The 21802-nt window shown below is 39.6% G+C and overlaps 1 protein-coding gene and 1 long non-coding RNA gene across 55 annotated transcripts in view; one reads left to right on the top strand and one right to left on the bottom strand.

The window, feature by feature from the left end:
• SNCAIP-AS3 (SNCAIP antisense RNA 3) overlaps nucleotides 1-18060 on the top strand; it is a 42591-nt gene extending 24531 nt beyond the window's left edge. Inside the window, exons 3-6 of the long non-coding RNA NR_051996.1 lie at nucleotides 48-181; nucleotides 2751-2776; nucleotides 3891-4010; nucleotides 17220-18060. This is a non-coding gene — a long non-coding RNA (SNCAIP antisense RNA 3). The remainder of the gene's footprint in view (nucleotides 1-47; nucleotides 182-2750; nucleotides 2777-3890; nucleotides 4011-17219) is intronic.
• The window catches only part of SNCAIP (synuclein alpha interacting protein), a 152867-nt gene that overhangs the window by 9663 nt on the left and 121402 nt on the right, over nucleotides 1-21802 (bottom strand). For 24 of the 54 annotated variants that reach the window (XM_006714734.3, XM_024446266.2, XM_011543738.3 and 21 more), the window contains 5 exons: nucleotides 13803-13928; nucleotides 9825-9994; nucleotides 4620-4712; nucleotides 2956-4024; nucleotides 1562-1632 (listed from right to left, as the gene is read on the bottom strand). In XM_006714734.3, coding sequence (XP_006714797.1) covers nucleotides 1562-1632; nucleotides 2956-4024; nucleotides 4620-4712; nucleotides 9825-9994; nucleotides 13803-13928 — 1529 coding nt within the window. The other 30 variants (XM_047417925.1, XM_047417932.1, XM_024446267.2 and 27 more) reach the window with 8 other exon arrangements.

Raw genomic sequence — 21802 nt, 5'->3', positions numbered from 1 at the left:
TAGGAGGGGAATGAGTATGTTTTTTTTCTATTCCTTTCCCACCCCAGGCATTGGGCTCTCACCATTGGCCAAGATTCCCTGCCCCGGTGAGGCCGGAAGCAGTTCAGACACCTGACTTCTGGCAACATGTGAGCCTGACCCAAGCAGATCACTGGTGACCAGTAAATATTGAAGCTCCAAGGTTCTTCCTTTAACATACTGAATTAATGAGCCCCCTAGGGGCATCCCCTAAAATGACTGAGATTTAATTTCTCTCTAGCCTGAATAAAGACTTAGAGCAGATTAAATTTGATTTAGAGGAAGAAAAAAGCAGAGTGACTTTCTTACAACTTAGTATTCTCAACTAAAATTCATACCCACAACACACAAATACATCCACACCAACACCCACCTATCCACCTACCCACATGCATGCTTTGGAGGATTTTGGAAGAGTGCTGAATGGCATGTTATAATTTTTCAATTCGTTTAAATATTTAAAAAGTGATAGTCTTTTATGACTGGGTGCGGTGGCTCACGCCTGTAAACCCAGCACTTTGGAAGGCTGAGGCAGGTGGATCATTTGAGGCCAGGAGTTTGAGACCAGCCTGAGCAACGTGGCAAAACACCATTCTACTAAAATTAGAAAAATTAGCCAGATGTGGTGGCACAGGCCTGTGATCCCAGCTACTCGGGAGGCTGAGGCAGGAGTATCACTTGAACCCGGGAGGCAGAGGTTGCAGTGAGCCAAGATCGTGTCACTGCACTCCAGCCTGGGTGACAGAGTGAGACTCTGTCTTCAAAAAAAAAAAAAAAAAAGTGATAGTCTTTTAAAATGGGTTTAGGGATGTAACTCTTCTGAAGTAAACCAATTAAGGCATACTGGTTTCATCCCACAGGGAGATGAAAGCTATGTTGCAGAAGAACTTTGCCCAAGGAGGTGGCCCAGCCACTGGGGACTCGATTCTCTCCTTTCTGTGTTATGTAGTCCATGCATTTTGAATTGTAAACGTCTTATTTGAGAAAGGCCCTTGTTTTATTAGAGGGCACTCATAAACCTGGCTCATGGACTGAAATCGTGTTCATAATGCTAACACAGAGAAATTTCAGAATGGCAAGGCCTTGCTTCTCCTGAGATCAGCAAAATGGTAATAAAAGGAGCTTTTGGTTTGTAATCAGCACTGAAATAAAATTAAAGCTCTGTTTCAAAGTTCTAGTTCTGATCGGAGGCTGACTCACTCCACCATGACAGGAAATTTAATTTCAATACTTTCTTAATACTTGACTCCATTAAAACAAAGATTGAAAGCTAAAGTCAACTAGGAAATACAGCAAAAGTTTGTGAACTGAGCAGATTCTTCTGGCTGACACTGGAATAAAGCCCTCCAAGGGCAGACTAGCGACCTAAGACCTAGTTACCATTACATCAGTGCCTGCTTCTACTTGGGGGAATAGTTGTAATTTTCTTCTTCCTTGGTGTTATCCCCTGATGAAAGGTGCTCCAAGTCCATGATTTAAAAGCTCATGCAATTCAAAGCAAAGCATGTCAATGCCGCACAGCATATCTCCTAGCACCACGTACCGTGTGTCGTTACACAGATGCTCTTCAATCAGCATGTTAGAGGAAAGATTGATGCAGCTGCTGTACATTTCCTAGAGAGGTGCAATTAAAAATCATCTGAAAACATGCAACAAGCTCAGCACATGCACAAGTCCCAGTAAACATGAAGCATGCAGGAAGATAGATAGATTAGAGGACAGTGGCTTAGTATGCACTTTAAGGAGCATGGGCAATTGAGATGATTCTTCTGTTACTACTGAGCAGCAGAACCCAGTAAGTTACCTGGAAAAGTTTGATCTGAGTGACTTAAGTTTTGACACATTTAACCCAAAAGGTCTGGTGTTTTGGGCACGAGTATGCCTTTTCTAGCTGAAACAAATACATGATATAGTCTTCTATAACAAGGACAATTTACAGAGGAATTTGATATTTAATTTAAAATTTGGTGTTCAACTTATTAGAGAAATACTCACTAAAACTTGATTTGGGTACTGCAAAAAGAATTTGGACAGTTCTTAGACCTCATTGTAATGGGATTCTAACATTATAGCTAATGATAAATTACAAAGATTCTGCAGCTCCACTGGGTGGTTTATCTGGATCACATGGAGAATGATCTAGGTCATTCCATTCCACAGAGAGTTTTGCATTTTGGCTGCTATACCATTTTTTAATGGCATGGCAAGCACAAAGCTTGCAGGAAACATTGCCTAAAAAGATGTTCATATCGCCTATCCACTGGATATAAATCACAGATTATAGTGCATGGGTTTCCAGTGAAGGCAATTATAAAATGTAGTTCATGGCATACTCTGCCATCCCCTGTGGACTGGCAAGCACTTCAGGCTCCTATAGGCTCCAATCAACACTTAGGAGTCTGTGTTGTAAAATACCTATGTGGAGGTCCCTGTGGTGTATTCATTTCAAAGGTCATCCCAAAGTTGTGTAGTTAAGTCTTTGGCAATAGAGCATCTATTTATGTACTTTTTAATTGGGCCTGAGAATAAACTATCCCATCACATGAAGAGAACAAACTCTTCCTTGGGACAGAATCAATGCCAATGCAGGACTAAACTTGCGCTAATTGGTGGTTTCATCTTGCAGAAATGCCTCCAAGTCTAGGACCCTAACACCTAAAGATTAGGCCATTTAGGGAAATTTATGGACCAGAATATAATCTCTTATTTTTTTTTTAACCTTTCTCTCTTAGAGTATTTTCCAAAAGAAGAGCAAGGGGTATGTATCTAACATGACATGTCTCATTAGACACATGAAGTTGGCTTTCCATGCATCCCTTTGGATTTTTTTTTTTCCTGGGGATTCCCTCAAGGTAGTGTGGGCCCACAATCTGTGATATTAGGAACAACATAATCCATTTGAAGGAAAAAAAAGAATATTCTCCAAATAGCACTTACTGCCTTATTCTTTCCTTTGCTAGCGGAGCTGGCAGGGTTTCCCTTGGCATCTGTCTTCCTCCCAAGTGAGGTCAAGGGCAATGTAGAGGTTTTCAGCTGGTTGGCTGCCTGGTAGTTATTATTATTGTTTTGGTTGCCACTTAGTGTCTCCATGATAGATCGAAAGGCTCCAAAAGGCCTTTTCAGTTGATCCCCCGATTCGTTACTTGTGGAGGTCCGCTGGAGAGTCCTGCCCTTATCTTTGTCTTTTTCTCCATTCAGTTCAAGGCTAGGCTGCTCCATCTGCACCACAGGCTCCTCAAAGGTAACTCTCAGTTTTAAGTTCTGAGATGTCCTACGCTTGGAAGATGGAGACTTGAGGGCACTCTTGGGACTTGTGGCAACTTTCTGGGCAGCAGTACTGTCAGGGCTGGGCTGCTGAGGGTCACCAGAGGGCTGGTTTGGAGGAATACTCCCTGAGCCTGGATACTGGGATTCTAAGTCTGGTTCGCTGCTCTCTGAGGTGGGAGATGGGCTGTGGCCATCCAGGGATTTGGAGGCCTTGATGCTGAAAGGAAACCTGCGTCCCCCTGATGCCAAGGTGTGTTTCTTAATCATCAGGTGCAGGCTTTCTGCGCTGTCCATACTCTCTACGCTTTCTACAATGGGCTGCGGCCTTGGTCGGTCAGCCTTCCTCACTGGGGTAGTCTTGGGGTCCTCAGAGTTGTTGGAGTCTGTGTCAGACTCACTCAGTGACCTCTGCATCAGCTGTCTCAGCCTGGCTAACTTCAGTTCCCTCTTCTCCAGTGGGATCTTTTTAGAATTTCTAGAGGAAGCCTGAGCATCCTGGAATTCCAAGGACAGTTTTTCCTGGGTGCAGACATTTTCTGAGATTTCCTTTCCCAATAACTGGCGTAAGATTTTATCAGAATCTTCATCTTTTGCTTTGGGTCTAGCCCGGCTGGAGGCTGACAGGCTTCCAAGAACCTGAATCCCCTCTTGGACTCCTGGCTTGCTTTTGGCTACAGAATCATCATCTGCATCTGGAGATTTCCACTGGGACTTTCTGGAGGCAGGTGAGGATGGTGAACTAAAAAGAAGATGAAGGACATATGAGATGATTTCCTACTGGGTTGAAATGACTCAAGTCACTACATGGTCTTTACTGACACTAATAATGTATAAGTAAATAAGAACAGAATACAGATAAGTACATAATTTCTTTTCGAAACAATGTGCAAATACTCCATAGTATCAGCTATAAGGTGCCTTATGCCTTCGGCTATAACTACCATGACTACTAAATTTGTCTGTTTTACTGTTTATACATCAATTTTGCATAAATTTTCTCAGTTAATTCCATTTTCAACAAACTTATCAAGCTATATATATATATCTCCTATTCCCACTTCACAGATGAAGAATTGAAAGATTCAATTCTTACAAAAGAGTAAATGACTTGTTTATAGTCGTGGAATGAAGAAATAGCAGAATCAGAGAATACAGCAGGTCTTCAGACTCTAGGTCCAGTGCCTTTTTCACTGTGATTTCTCATTTTTATTCCTCTTTATAAGAAGAAAATGTTTTCTGTTGTCATCCTCTTAAAATATATCAAAGGAAGTTCAGAAGAAGGCTTAACAATTTAGGATACTTAAGAATGCTAAACAACAATGTGCTGGTATTACCTGGGTGAAGAAGGGAGTGACTTGCCCTCTGATTTCTGGGCTTCTAGAAATTGTTGGAGTTGGTTCTGCAGCGTGACACGTTCTACTGTTTGTCTGGGGAAAACAACCAAAACACATGAGGACTCTGATACTGGTTACTGCTATAAATTAGGGTGTATAATATTTTTCGTAATAATTTCCAGTAAGTTGCAATAAATACAAAAGCCTTAAAATGTGCATAATATTCATCCTTACAGGTTCAGAAATTTTCCTAAGGAAACAATCAAAAGTACCCCAAAAAGATATGTATTGTCAATATTAATGAAAAATTATAAGTAACCTAAATGCTTAGCAGTAAGTCTCAGTGAACAAATTATAATTATTTCTATAATGACAGCTATTAAAATGATAATATGTTTGAGTATCTATGGACATAGAAGAAGTCTTCCTAATTATGTCTATATAATGTAGATATAAAGCATAGTTTCATATATATAAATATGTATATATGAAGTATACTTTACTTTCATTAAATAAAAAAGGAAACTACAAAATACTATTTGCAGCATACAATCTCTGACTTACTATAACTTGTGATTTTTCAAATTTACAGTGGTGAGAAAGTGATATGGATTCAGTAGAAACTGTACTTTGAGTATCCATACAGCCATTCTTTCTCACTTTCAGTACAGTAGTCAATACATTACATGGGATATTAAAACTTTATCATAAAGTACAATTTGTGTTAGATGATTTTGCCCAACTGTAGGCTAATGTAAGTGGTCTGAACACGCTTAAGGTAGGCTAGGCTAGGATACGATGTTCTACAGGTTAGGTGTATTAAATGCATTTTTACCTTATGATATTTTCAATTTGTGATGTGTTCATTGGGATGTAAACCCACGGTAAATTTAGGAGCATCTGTAACCTCATTTTTTTTTTTGAGTCGGAGTCTTGCTCTTTTGCCCAGGCCGGACTGCAGTGGTGCTATCTCGGCTCACTGGAAGCTCCGCCTCCCGGGTTCACGCCATTCTCCTGCCTCAGCCTCCCGAGTAACTGGGACTACAGGCACCCGCCACTCCGCCCAGCTAATTTTTTGTATTTTTAGTAGAGATGGGGTTTCACCTTGTTAGTCGGGATGGTCTCGATCTCCTGACCTTGTAATCTCATTTTTAAGAAAACTAACTCTGTCTTTCCCACATGTATGTGTGTGTGTGTATATATATATATAAAACATATATATTATATATATGTATATAATATATATAATATATATATAACATATATAATATATATAATATATATAAAAATATATATAACATATAATATATATTATATATATAAAAATATATATAATATATATAAAAATATATATAAAATATGGAAGGATATATATATATAAAAAATATGGAAGGATATACTTCAAAATGTTATATTTACTTTTCCTAAATTGTTTGAATTAAAAAATTTTTTAATTAAAAATATTTTTAGAGACAGAGTCTTGCTATGCTTCTCAGGCTGGACTTGAACCCCTGGCTCAAGTGATGCTCCCTCCTCAGCTTCCCAAGTAGTGGGGACTACAGGTGTGTTCTGCCTAGCTTGGCTTGACCCACAGAACTGTAAGATAAATTTGATGCTGTTTTAAGCCACTAATCTTGTGGTAATTTGTTACAGAGCAATAGAAAACTATTATAATAATACAATTAGCAGAAAAAAATGACAGCAGCTCTCACGAGCCAGGACATGTAACTAAACAAATATATCATAAATTTTCTTAAAATGACTGCTGTACTTCAGATATTGGCCCAATGTTCTCCTTGCTGAGTGTCACTGCATATACTCAGCAACGATTAGCTGGCTAAATCTAATTATGTGAGATCGGATCCTGCTAATACTCTTCTATAAGCTCCAAGCACTTTGTTTTTCTCAGAAGCTATCAGTTTTAGTCCAAACATTTCATCACTAAGACCAGAGAAGTCTGTGATCTCATTTTATCTCACTCATTCTTCCAGACTCACCTACTGACATGTAATTGTCTAACATGGGAACCAGCAAGCAAACTTTTTCTTAAAGGGCCAAATAGTAAATATTTTAGGCTGTGAACCATACAATTGTATCCCAACTTCTCAACTCTGCCTTTGCAGCATGAAATCAGTCCTACACAATAGACAAATGAATGTGTGTGGCTGTGTTCCAGTAACATTTTATTTATGAAAACAACTGATGGGCTAGATTTGGTCCACAGTCTATAATTTGCTGATTCTGGTCTAATGAAAAAAATAAAAACTAAAAACATAAAAGCATTCTACTTTTCCCACTTTGCTAGCTGGTATTGCAAGTCACATGTTTTTAAGAAAAATATTTATTGAGGGGATAAAACAGATGAAGAAAGATTAGCGTCTGCTTTTAAAGGGCTTATTATGTGTCTTTAAGTGAATTATGACACAGTCAAAGAAAAATATTTTGGGGTAATTGGGTTGACTGACAACTTGAATCTCAGGTATGAATGGAGAAGGAAGACTACTCTCTGGATTCTATAGTAGCCCTCAGGAAGAACTCATCAGCTTTAATTGTAGAAAAGAAAATATATGGGCAGATGGCCACTGTATTAGTTTGACAGGGCTGCTGTAAGGAAGTACCACAAACTGGGTGGCTTAGACAATAGAAGTTTATTATCGCACAGCTCTGGAGGCTGGAAGTCTGAGATCAAGGTGCTGGCCAGGCTGGCTCCCTCTGAAGGCTGTGAGGAGAAGCTGTTCCTTGCTTCTCTCCTAGCTTCTGATGGTTTGCTGGCAGTCTTTGGCATTCTTTGGCTTGCAGATGCACATCCTGATCCCTGCCTTCATGTTTACGGGTATTCTCCCCGTGTGCATGTCTGTGTCTAAATGTTCTCCTATTATAAGGACTCTAGTCAGAGTAGGACCCATCCTAATGACCTCACTGTAGCTTGATAACTTCTGTAAAGGTGCTGTCTCCAAATAAGGTCACAATCTAACATACTTTTTTGATGGGGACACCCATAATACCTAGGCTTGTTGATTAGCACTTCAGTAGAGCTGAAGGTTGCCATTTCTAAATATTAAGTATGTTTATTAACTCTGAGGAGTTGCTGAAGGTTGGAAAAGGCACTCAAGACTGTCTTCCCCCAGAATTTTGGACTGGGAAGACTAGTGTTTTCCATCCTCTCTCCTGTCCTTGTCTATGTTATTGGTGTCTGGGAGCCTGAAGGGCACAGTGTACTGTGGCTGTACCAAGTTGATTTCTCCATTCATTTCTAGTTTTGCCAACTTCACCTAGATATACAGTAGGTAAAAGACTAGGGTATACAACGTAGCCTCTCTTAGTTCATCTTGTCATTGGCCCAACTATAGCTGTCCACAGCATTCTGTTCTGGAGACAACTGAAGGACTGCAGTCTACTAGTACATATGTGTACTTTATCCCAGGATCACCAACTGAGAAAGCAGCCAAGACTTTGACTTTGAGCAGTTCACCAATAAAAGAGCGATTGTAGCTCATGAAAGTTTTGTAGATTCCATGCTATGAACAAGAAGGAGGATGTTTTGTGATTCCCTTCTCTGAGTATGAACCTTTAGAAAAAACATTCCTTTGGATCATTTTAAAGTTCCTCTTTATGGATATGTCCATACATTACTTGAGGGAGTGGACATTAGTATAGCATTTTTGGAAAGATTAGTTAACATCTATCCACATTTTAAATATGTATGTCTTTTGCTCTAGCAATTCCTTTTCTAGGAACTTGTTTTTTTGAAATATCTATACATGTTCATAAAGGCATTTGCACAGTGTGTTCACTGTGGGGAGACAGCTTACTGACTTATTAATTTGTGTGCATTTTCCCTGTGATTACGTTGAGACCTTGAAGTTTACCTAGCTCACCTAACTTGGGGAAGTTTTGTGTAACTAGGCAAAGGATGGTTGGCAGTAACCCCTTTTTTTCAAGTTTCAAATTTTAATTTATTTTTTCTAGAAGTCTAAACTCATTAAAGAAATTATTCTAGTATTGACAGGGGGAGGGGTAGAGGGGCACAGAGACTTGTAGCTTGAAGGCAAAAGAGTGGAAGGAGAGAGAGAAGGGACATTTCCCTAAGCTTAGAGAAGAGGCAGAGGGTCCAAGGCCTTGTCATATTGTTGCATGGATTATAATTAATTAATTGAGGTCTTTCACCCAACCAAGGTTGGGTGAAAAAAACCAAGGTTTTTTTCTTTTTTTTTTTTTGATTATACTTTAAGTTCTAGGGTACAGCTGTATTCAGAAAAAAAATGTGTGTGTGTGTGTGTGTGTGTGTGTGTAAAACTTAAAGGTAAGAGTATTTTCCCTCTAAAATTTAATTTTTAAGATTTACCCTCCTAATCTGTCAACATTACTTTGAATACTGACTGATTTTCAGGAAACCCTCCCCAATCTGGAAACTGTATTTAATGGGTGAGCTTTTCAAGGGCTGACCTTGGTTCCCCTCAGGCAGGTGTTAACTCCTTAGTCCTTCAACTTGCCAGAGACCTGATGACCTTTCATCTGGGACCTCTTTCTCTAAGCATATTATGACAATCTCCCAGAAATACTTCCCTGACACCCAGACATGCACTGGTACCAGTTTAATAATCTTATCAAGGGAAGAACTGACTGTAATTAGTCGTGAAGTGTTTTAAGTAACTTCATGCTGACTGAGCACTATTTTTTATTATGAAGATTCATGAATCATCTGATTAATTTTTATAAGAAATTTGCTGGTGATAGTCACCAAGTTATTTATCTGTAATTTCCCCCACACATTTTTCTTTTTGAGAAAACTGGGAAATTGGTCCATCTCTAGCCTTTTCCTCTCTCTCATGTTCTTTATGATTCCTAAAATATTAAGGACAAAAGTTTGGAGATGATGCCTATGAGTGCTTCCAGCGCTCTGTAATCTGGCCCTGAGTTGTGAACACAGAGAGAGGCTCTCTCGCCTTGTCCACTGGCTTAAATTCCCTGCTTTGGGAGCTTGCTGTACACTTTACTGTTTAGACATCCTTTTGCCTCTGCAGAGATGGCATCTTCAGCACGAACGCTGGCTGTGAGGACTTTGGATGGAAGAACAGAAGAGGAGAATGCTAGGAATTCCCTGTACAACTGGAAAGAAGAGTGCTCAGCACAGCATGGGGCTGAAGCCTAAGTACAACAATAATGAGTTAGACTTGGTTCTCATGGAACCAACAGGCCACTTACTCCTTTAGCTGCTTGGTTAACTTCACCACTTGAGAGGCCAGCGACATGCAGGTCTCCACCACCACCAGGTACCTGGAGCACAGGGTGTGCCCCTGCCGCTCGGCGCTCTGGGAGGGCTTTTCCCCAGCGTGGTTCTGCATGGTGACATTTGCTCCATATTCAACCAAGGTCTGTCAGAAAATGAAGGACATGTGTATCAGGACATCTCTGTACACATTATTTTTTAATGACTGTAACAGAATGTTGAATAGTATGAAGAGAGCCTCTAGGGACCTTTCAGCAGTCAATATCACACACCTCCCTTCAGAGTCTATGATGATGTAGCAGAGCCAGTCCTACTACTATCAATGCTCATCTGCAGCCCACATAAGGAGGGGGCTGGGAAGGAGAGGAGGAGGCTGTCCATAGTGTGCTCTCCTTTATGAGATATGCAGTGCAGTCTTTGTGGTGGGGAGTTCTGTCTCTTGTCATGGTTGGGCTCCAAGAGAATCACTCATAGTCAGAGATGCCTGTAAGAGGGGGAGACTGGAATCTTACCTGTTCTCATTTGCTTGGGCTCTAGTAACTGGATTTGGTCTCTGGTAATTGGTTTTGAAATAACACCTGTTTATTTGTTGCTGCGCCAACCTGATCAGGAATAAAAAGAACTGGAAAGAAATGACATGGCTGAGAGTGGGGAGGCTGTGAAGCAGCTCCCACCCTCCCACAATGGGCTATGGTGAGGACATGTCTGTGGATTGAGCAGGCTTTGTAGAAGAAAGCTTTGTGTGAGCTTCTTATCACCTCTTTAATGAGGAGAGGGTTCTATGGCTACAATTGGCAATAGGCTGCCCCAGAGGTGGAGAGAACTGTATGGGGGAGGAGGGGAAGGCTCCAGAGGGCCCTCTGAAGACCCCAACCATGGCACTCACTGGAGAGTCAGCATCTGAAGGTTGGCACAGAGGGCATCAGTGACCACAGCCAGCCAAAGAAGCAGGGACAACTTTCAGGGAGGTTGCATGCCTTTCCCAGTTAAGCAAAGAGATACCGGACTTTTTCTCTTCATACCTCCTTCTTGTCCTTGACACTGCAGCCCAGAAGAGATAGGGGGATAGGAGCTAAAGTGGTGTGTAAAAAGGCATGTCTCACTCCCATTCCAAGTCCCTTGAATCTTGAGTCTAGTCTGGGTGGGAAGGAGAATGCTTTGAATCAGAAGTAAGACTGAGATTTTAAAGAGGCTTGGAGTAAATTTTAATAGTCATAAGAAAGGAGAAAGTTACGGAATCTGGCCAAGGTATCATTAGTTGTGGAGAGAGAGAAATTTGATGGAACATGGTTGAAATTAATAATTTAAAAAAATCCAAACTATTTTGTGTCCATACTGTGATATTATTAGATTCCACAAAAAGTTATTACATCAATATTAATCAACCACTACAATCTGATAGATTCTTTGACAATATCATGATGAGACTGCAAACCTGGATTAATCTGGGTAGTAGACAGTGTTTTCCCCTAAGCAATAGTTGTAGTATTTAAATTTTTAGACTACTTAGACTGAGAGGTCAGTAAGGAGCTTCGTTTTCCTTTTGGTTTATGATCACTCACCATGAAAGGTCAACTCACCACAAAGCCATTGCCACCTACCTCACAGGAGTGTCACAGAGACCATGTCAGTATTGAGCTCTCAGGGCTCTTGAAGAGATGCTATATAAACACACACTGTTATTACTCCCCCTTGGCCCTGACCTCTGCAGTTTTCTTTCCATTGTTTTCCTTACTCAGTCCCCTCCTCACCTCATAGGGTCCCTTGCTCACTCTCGGTCTCTTATCTTTTTTTTTCTTTAAATTTCACACCCAGTGGACAGATCCCCTTCCAAGATTATCCAAGTTTCCACTTCCATGGTACCCAGTGCCAAAAATATCATTTGTGTGTAAGTGGAGTGATGAACGCTCTAAAAGCAAAGACTGTCTCTCTTCACATATTAAAAAGAAAAATAACTAAAATCTCACGTAGTGATATCAGCTGGCTTTCTTTGGCTTTAGTCATTTCTTAGCTGCTTAAAAGTTTGTTTCAAGACTATTAAATATTAGAGTGTTTTGTTAAATAGAAAAGCATATTTTTCAATGTTTATTCAATCATATTTCCTTTACAAAAAAATGCTACTCCTTTAATATTTCTGCAGAACCTGTTAAGAATTTAAATTTCTCTCCTATACTCTCCAATTTCATATCACTCTTTTAAAAACTTGATGCCTTAAATTAGAAGATGCACACTTTGCCAACAATAATAGAAAAACTTTCAGCTCTCCGGACTATTTCCTATCAAGTGAGTTCTCCAAACAGCAGTTTCATGTGAGTAGGCACTCTAGAGAGATTTCTGCTATTATCTCTGCTTTTTGTTTTCATAAATCTCTTGCCTTTTATATTTATAGTTTCCCCATATATTCTCCTGTCATTTCCCAAGTCTCCTCTACCTTCCTGAGCAACTGGTTCTCACCTCTCAGTTTTCTGTTTTGGATACCATCTATCTTGCACCCAGGAGGGCCTCAGTAAGTACCTGTTGAATAACTGAGCACACTGAGTTTGCAACATAGGAAAATAACACACGTGTAAGCCAAAAAAAAAAAAAAAAAAAAAAGAGTACTGCTTTCTTAAAGGTAGAAAGTGTATTACATGTTATATACCATAACATATTTTGAACCGTATGAACTTGATGAGGTAAAAGTCTTGTCTCTAATCATGACCTTCAACCATATGTTGTCAATTTCCCTATCCTATATATCAGATAGATATGGGAATAAATCCATATATGTCGGGTCACTTTCAATGATAATAATGGTATAATTGGTCTGATTCTGGTAATAATGATTTATGTCTGTAAATAAAATTCTAGACCAAGTCTAAACTTTGACTTTGTTTCCAATTCAAAGCCTTTCCTTTCCTCACATTGTCATGCCTCTTCCATCTGCTACTCCTCCTTCAGCTATCCCCTCTTTTTGCTCTGTCACTGAGGGCATTCGACATTTTCAAGGTGGAAAGATCAATTGGGTCTTATGTTCACATATACTCCAGACTCCTGGAGACCTTTGTTGGGCTTTCCTGCCATGCACTACTTGGATGGCAGCTCTGGGTTTGGCCCAGTTTCATGCAGCTCTGCATTCAACTGAGGGATGAGATGTCACCTCTTCTTCTCATAGGAACCCTACACTCTCTAGGGAGCTTTCTTGGAGCACCCTTCATGTGGCTTGGGGCAGGGGGTCGAGACTCCTTCCCCTCTCCTGTGGCTCAGCTCCCCAACTTTTTGACATCATTGTACACACTGGATATGACAATATTTAGAAGGCAAGTTAGGGTAAAAAGATAAGGCTACTTGAGGCTGTTGGGTGCAGTGGTTGGGCAATCAAGGCCCTGGGTGGCCTGCCCAAGGGCGGAGAGGACCAATATCTGAATCTACTCCCAACCAATTCTGGACCTTTTGAATGCATTTGAGAAGCTCAGTCCTACTACAGAGAAAGGGGGAACTACAGCATTCTCTCTCTAGCCTACAACTCCCTACACAAAGAATTCTAATCCATTCCTGAAAAATCTATCTTATTCTTCATATACCTGGAGGATGAAATTTACTAGTTAGGGGAAGAGCAGCCTGCCACTTGAGAGACAGATGTCTGCCTGGTAGTGGTTTCTCTGGTGCCTTGAGAACATGGGGAAATTTAATGTCTATTGTCCTCAGCACTGGGGCTTTAGAGCAGTGATAAGGGAGCAGGAAAAGTCCCTTTCAACACCCTGGGACACTGAAAGAGAAACTCTTATGGATATTTATGCCTACCTACATTTGTGTGGATTTCTGGAAACACAAATAGAGCAATAATTCCTTATTGTCTACGACCATACAAAAGGTGAATTAATTCAGACATTCTCCTAGTGAACATAATTTTAATGTTTTGTTTAATATTTGATATACTCATTTCTCATTGCAAAACAGCAGGGCCTGTGTACCTGTATGCATCCAAGGTAGCCATGCTGTGAGGCTACGTGAACGGCACTGTTGCCATCCTGGTCTACTTCATCCAACGAGATGCCCTGTTCTTGCATAAACTGAAGAAGCCACAGAAGAATCTTTTCCTATAAACACAAAGACAGTTGGAATTCATGTAATATCTTGCAGAGAAGTTAGATAAAAAGACAGAGGAAAACAATACCCTAATTTGTGAAGCTTAGGTAAAACCATGCTTACCGTAGCAAGAGAAAATTCTCATTCAGATGTGAATTGAAAATCCTTGAATCTCTGACTGAAATGAATGAAAGAGGACGGCATAGAGAATTTTAAGAGCAGGAAGCTCCCTTGGAAGCGCTCTTATTTTACTTATCTATTCTATAGATGGGAAAATAGGTTTGCAGTAAGATTGAGTGCCTCATCCAAGGCACACAGCTAGACAGATCCAAAGTTGGAACTAGAATCCATGTCTTTTGATTCCAAGGCTCCCAAGGCAATGTTCTTGCTGCTGTGTTATACTGCCTGTAGGCTTCAAGAATGTTACCATAAAACCTTGAATTGTTGAGAATTAGCTTCTACTCTTAAGTTTATAATTCTTCAACCATGCCTTTATAATCCATACCTCCTGCAATCAACAGGCTTATAAAAAACAGGTAAATACGTTAAGTTGCCAAGTGTAAGATAAGTTCATTGAAATAAAACCAGGACCCTCTTGATTTTCTGACCAAGTGTTGGTGGTGTCTTAAGGTAAAGATTTCCCTTCTTTCATGTTAAAGGAAGGGAACCAAAAGCTTGGAACGCAAACCTTTCAAAAGCAAAGACATAGAGCAGTCACAGTATGTGTTGTCATAATCTGTTTGCATTTTACCCACTGAGTGTTTTGTGGTATTTTCATGTTATGCTTGGCCTTTGGAGAAAGCAGGGGGATGGGATTTCACTGTTTTAAAATAGAAGATTAAATATAAAGTTAAAAAAATATGAGAGTGGTAAAAACAACAGCATGAAGTTTAGTGGGTGGAATTTGACATTTAAAAAGATGATCATGTGTTTGAAATAACCTTGAACTTCTTTCTTCTTAGCCTTTTAAAGGATTTTTTTTTCCAGTTGTTTGCTCCGACTGCTCATGAACTTTTATACTTTTCTGGATTAAATTTGCCTTCATCTTCTGAACATGCCAACTAATCTGCTAAAGGAATGTTGGATAAAAACAGCCAAATCTTTTAATGTTTCACCCCTTATGTTGGGGAACAGGGCACTGTTTATGAAGGTATTTGTGACATCAGGGAGAGACTGAACATTTGCACCACACTTTTTCTAAATGAGCACCAGGGAGTAAGACCCCTAAAGAGCATGATGAGAACAATGTAATCTATGCCTACAGCCTTCTAAGAAGGCATCCCAGAAAGCAGGGTGAGTGTTAACTGCAAAAGGAGACAGACATGGTAGAAACTGAAACCCTCAAGGGTCCCTAGAGAATGAGGTAGAAGCAGAGCCTGGAGCTATGGCTGGGAGTTAGAGGTTGGATAAGAATATGCTGCTATGCTTAGTCCTCTTCTTCAAAGGCAAACCTAGAGAAAATTGGAGCTGATGTTTGGACCACAGCAGGTGATGTTTCATTTGCATAACGTAAAAGCAGTTCCTTTGTTTTTTTTCTAATTAGGTAGGGGAAAAACACTGGATTACTTTTAATTGGACATAGATGATTATAGCATACGATTCTTAACTCCTTAAAAATCTGGATGAATGGAAGTATCTCAGGATAAAAGACATAACCAACTGGTTGAGGTTAATGGCTCAGACATGGAGGCTGCAAGAGGATAGATTATGGTACCTCTACCAGTGAAACAGATGGACCCACCATAGGCAGAACAAATTCTCTTCAATGGGTCATTCTCAAACTTGTGGTGATTTGGTTTGCTTCAAGATATTAAATCATGGACTCCTAAACATGTGGAGGGGAGAGATTTTAAAGAATCATCCAATTCAAAAAGCCTTATTTTATAAGTCAGAAAACTGAGGGAGCGGACAATGATATACAGCAAGTCCTCATGTGATGGCATGGACAGATTCTTGGAAATTGCGACTTTAAGCAAAATGAAGTATAATGAAACTAATTTTACCATTTTAGTTCCTATGACATATTTCTGGTCACAAAAACAGCACCAAACTTCTAAATAAAGACCAAACACTTCTAAAGTGAAACATTGAAACAAATATGAGCTATACATACATTTAAGAAAGACTAATACAAACAAGTAAGATAATTATTTATCTGATCATTCCAGTCAGGGTTTGGGTGGCTGGAGCCCATCCTGGAAGTTCAGAACACAGGGCGGGAACCATCCCTGGACAGGACACCACCTTAACACAGGGTGCACTCACACCCACACACATTCACTCATGGTGGGACAACTGAGACACAGCAGTTCACCTAATGTGCACATCTTTGGGACGTGAGGAGAAACTGGAGTACCCAGAGAAAACCCACACTGAGATGTGGAGAATGAGCAAACTCCACAGGGACAGTGGCCCTGGCTGGGAACTGGTTTTTTTCTTCTCATCAACATTATAAGAAGATGATGTTGAAAGAAACCAGGTTAATGTAAGGACCTGCTGTATTCCTTGATATTCTAGAGACTTCTTTCTTTAGCAAGTAAAGCCTGGAGGAGTTCAAGATACTGAGAAGCATTTTACATGTATCTTCTTGTTGGATGTAATTCCATATTTCCAGGCCCCAATATTATGGGGGGTATGTCTATTCCACATACACAAAAAAATGCCCTTTATTAAAATCACAGTGCTTTAGTTTTAGTAGTGGGGTTATAGGCAATGGAATACTGCCCCTCATAAGAGTGGGAATGTTCCCATTGTGGAAATCTGTGGGGAGAGTCTAGGACCTCGGACTTTTCAGGGGCTTGATAATCTGGGAGAACAAGACATACATGGTCTGTGTGAGCCAAAAGTTACCTGGGCCCCTGAGGGGGCCTCCAAGTCAGGTTCAACCTATATTGTTACAATAACTTGCCTTTCCTTCTTAGGAAGGCATGGATAACTCTTCTTCCTTACAATGAAAGATTCTAACCAATTCAATATGCAAGATTTACATAAAGAAAGAACCATTATTTGACTGTTCAGAACAAGGTTTTGCCTAGCACCTCAAATCCAGTCTTGGGTTTTATGTTGGACAATTTAAGAATAAGCATAAGAATTTAAAATAAGAAGTGCGATTGGCCTGTCCACTGAGATATGACATGTAAACCAAAATCTTCCATTATACAATGCAGAGAAGTACTCCCCAAAATGACGGATTGACTATATACCTTGTCTTTTAACAACAGACATTTAGGGTTTTTGAGGGGGACATGGAGATGGCTAGAGTCTCTGGTTTTGGTAAAAGCATATTTAATATCTGCTTACAGACAAATCCTGCCCTGATTCTGGGGACCATGCCTGTGGAGATGCACAGTTCTACCATTCAAAATGACTATCTGAAAATACCTCCTAAGAAGGACAAAACTTTTCTTCAGCCAAGAGGGCACTTGTTAATATGATTAGATACATATGTAATGGTGTCCCCCTCCCCTCTTAGCCCCTCAGTGTGTGTTCTCTCAGTCAGTGTATCTACATGCAGGAGACATTAAAGGATGGATGTAACTTCAGACCTTCATTTCCCCATAAGTATTGCTTTCAGAGAATATCTAATGAAGTCACATGGATGAAGATTTCTGTATCATTTGTTTCCCAGAATGGCTCTCCAACTTACATTTCATCATCCACCCACATATCCACTTATCCATTCAACCTTCATGTACTGACTGAAAACTCCTCTTATATAGTTTTCCTCAGCAGTTTCCTCTTCTGGGGATTTTCTGCTGTTTTGGTAACCTGTTTTAATGTTGTATTTTATGTGTTCCTAAGGGCAATGCAAGTTGTTTAAAGAGGCAATTATCTCATGTGATTTATGAGATTTGCTGGACAAATTCCAATAAAAAATGTACTTGAGAAGTATGTCACAGGTTTATTGCTGGTATCAATAAAGTCTCTATAGTGTGTGGCAATCCATGTTTTAAAAGGAGTTAGCTTTGTGATCATAGATTATCAAATCTAATATGCCACCAATTATAAGATTTATTCCAGTTTTTGAGATGTAAAAATGTAAAAAATAAAGGTCAGCAATTATTTTATAATTTCATGTATTGTAAGATATATGTAGAATCAAAAGACGGTAAAATGTGAAATAAAGTGCACCTAAGAATTGATTAAATAGGTTATGGCCTTAATAATTCCTTTGCAAGTTTCTCCTATACATTACTAATGGTAAAATAAGTAAACTGAATAATATTGATAGGAATAAAAACAATAAGTTGGAGGAGATTCAATAGTGATAACAGCCGACATTCATCTAGTGCCTAGTATGGGTTGGGCAATGTGGCTTTTCTCACTTAGTCCTCAGATTAACACTGTGAGGAAGGTTCTATTATCTCCATTTTACATATGAAGAAACTGAGGTCCAGGGAGACCTATTCTTATATTTTCTCTCTTTTTAAAAAAAAAAAAAATTAAAATATCTAACCCATTGAACTAGTAAGTGGTAAGGTTAGGATGACAATGGAGACAGTTTGCTGTATGAACCAATGTTCTTCATGACTCTGTTTTCTGTCTTTTGAGTATGGATATCCACAATTGCGCATCCCCTCATGACCCCTGACTCTGTAAAGGACATGCTCCCTTTGTGCCCCTTGAGTCAAAGAAATCACAGTTAACTGCCTGTCAGTCTGTGGGTTTGTAGGGCTCTGTGTCAGTTATGCTTTGTCAAGATCAGAACTTGGAGAGCAGATGCGTGTGTGCTAATCAAAGACTCTTCTATTTTGCTTTCATCTGTGATCGCAGCACTTTCAGTACTGTTGACTTACTTCCCTATGACAGCAAAACAATAAAGGCAGGGGAATATTTTTCCTTTTTAAAGTAAATTGTGGAAAAACAACAATAACACAGCCTGCGGGAACACCCCCCTCACCAGCATGTCTACCACTGCTCATGACCATTTGCAAGAATTGCTGAGCCTTTTCTTTTTTCAAAAAGTGCCCTTAAAAAAATCTGTATTAGGGCAAATATTTAAACTACAGAAAATAATAAAAACAGTGTAGGTAAAGGTGCTGTTAGTAAATGTTCAATGCCATGATGCAGGTTGTTTTCGTAGAAGAATCTCATGACTAAAAGTCACATGAATGATTCAGAAACAAAAGGAATCACAGGTTTGATGTTGAAAGTAACATAGAGCCCACTGGACTAATAACCAGCGCAGAGCAGGCAGAGGCTCCCAAGCAGTGGAGGGCAGGAAGCTGTGCTGGGAGAGCCTGGATGAGACAATCTGAACCTTCATGTTTGAATAAAACAGCCCAAGTTACACAGGCAGTAGCTTTGAATTGAGATAATTCCATCTCAATTGTTTTGCCAGCAACATCTTTCTCAAGGGCCAGCAAAGCAGGCCTATCCGAGGACACTCCCTGCTTTTTCCTCGGGTGTCCCTGATGCTTCCACCTTCACATTCCCTGTGGCTAGTTCTGCCAGGTACAGTCAGGCAATGAAATAATTGCACCCTCTGAGACTTCATGTGTCAAGATGAAGAAAATCAATTCCTATCACCCAGGGATCTATCACTTCAGGAGAGCACTAAAAACTGTTGGCTACCCTGTGGTACTAGAGTCTTTAAAGGTAATTTTTACAAGAAAAACGACACAAATTAGGAGTCACGTGGAGCCCATTCTTTAGGAATCTATATGAAGGGCAGAGAGCGGCTAAAATAAACCAAGAGAGGAATTTTCCTCTGTACTATCCTTTCCAGGGGCATTTACTGAAGAAACAAAGCCAGGACACACTCAAATGCCTGCTGGATGTAGAAAAACTTGCATATGCTGAATCCATTAGAAAACCGTTCAATAACAGTCTTCCTTGTGAAAATATTAGGCTTGTAATGGTTCCAAGTTCAGCATCTCCACAGGTTATCTGTTACATAAGTGGCTGTGGCGGATGTAGGATGGCTGGACAGCATTTGCAGTTCTAATGGGCTTCTATATTTTCCAGTTGGGTAAGAATGATCTCCTAAGGGCACTGCTGGACTGCCCCCCTCAGAGCTGTATTTTAGGTCATAAAAAATGCATATCATCTTGAAATAACAACCTGAATATTGACACTAGCATGAAGCAAACGTTTGACACAGCTCTTCAAACAGGTCACCAATTTCCATATTTTCCTCTAGTCCCACCAAGTAAGTCACACTGTGACCCAACCAGTCCCAGAAAAAGGGCACTTTATTTTGTTCAGTCCCAATAGCTTCAAAATTATGAGAAACCTGCTGTGAGAGCTGAATAAAGAAACTGGCACATATAATCAACATTTCCCAAGACAAAGCATGCCGAATGCCCAATTATTTACTTAGAGTCTCAGAACAGCCCTGTAATTCTTTCCTCCTTTTCTTTGGCAAGCTCTACCAAAAGTGCAGGCAGCCTTTCCACTGATACTTAAAATTCCTTTTTAGGCTTTAATATAAGCAAATGAAATCGGAGACATGAAATAACTATTCACACAATTGAATAAAATTTTGTTTTAGACTCAAAATGATTAGGAAGATGAACAGTGATCAAATTCTTCCGATCATTTGAAAATCCTATTCTCTTCTTTGCCAGTAGAGATGTTCTTTGACTTACAATGGGGTTATGGCCCAATAAACCCATCCTAAGTTGAAAATATTGTTAAGTCGAAAATGCACTTAATACACTATAGGGTATTGATTGTTTACCCTTGTGATCACGTGGCTGTTGGGAGCTGCAGCTGCCACGGCCTAGCATCACAAGAGAATATTGTACTGTATATCACTAGCCTAGGAAATGATCGAAATTCAAACTTGATGTATGGTTTCTACAGAATGTGTATTTATTTCACACCACTGTGAAGTCCAAAAATCATAAGTTGAACCATTTTAAGTTGGGGAGCGTCTGCATAAGCAAAAAATGACATCCTTACGTCATGCCTTAATAACCAGTAATCATTTTCAGGACACTGTGGATGGGGACTAGTAAGTACAATGCACAAAGAACACAGAGTAAGTATAATATTTCAAAGACAGTGGCTTTTACAAATTTTAATGTAGGGCCTGCTCCTTTCTCCATTTCATAAATTTGGTACAGTTAAAAATCTCTTCAATGAGTAGTGTGAAGCACTCCAAATATTACAATGTATTGTTAGATAAAACTGCAAAAAAAAGTCTTCTTCAGCTATATCAGTGCCTCTACAAACAATCTGCATACATTTTCTATACAAATGGGGACAAAACAGGATCTGGCCCTGAAGTGAGAGAATCTGAGTTGAAATCTAGTCTTTGCTCTTACTAGCCATTAGACCATGTGCAAGTCATGTAACTCTCTTTCTTCAGTCTCCTTCCTCATCTATGAAATGGGGATAAACACAACAAGCTCTCACAGGGTTGTTTTGAGGAATAAATGAGAGAATGTACACAAAATCCAATGGCGTGGTGCCTGGCACACATAGGAAACATTTTACATGTGTATATAACATATAAAAAACATGTTTTTATGTAATATATATTATACACACACACACACACACACACACACACACACACACTACTAGAAGTTACCACAGCACAAAATAAACTATCCCTAAGCATGACTCCCACTAAAGAAAGACTGTGGTAATAGTGTTGTCTACTTTTTGAACTTGAGATTGTCTTACTTGAAAAAGCATAATCTCTTGTTGACAACGCCACAGTTTACTTCTACTAGGAAAGTTTATGAAGCCAGAGAGAATACAGTTAAATGCATGAGAAGCAATTTTCTTTGCCACAAACACAATTAAATCTATTTTAACACAGTACTATTATTTTTTAAGACTGAGATTGGTATTTTGTGGTTCCAGTTTTTTAAAAAGATAACTCACAGTCACATTCTCCAAAGGGAGGTAGTAATTTTTTTTTTTAACTGCA

Source organism: Homo sapiens, chromosome 5 (genome assembly GCF_000001405.40).
Source record: "Homo sapiens chromosome 5, GRCh38.p14 Primary Assembly".
Taxonomy (NCBI): domain Eukaryota; kingdom Metazoa; phylum Chordata; class Mammalia; order Primates; family Hominidae; genus Homo; species Homo sapiens.
The sequence above is the reverse complement of the archived record's forward strand: the minus strand, read 5'-3'. Positions and strand labels throughout refer to the sequence as shown.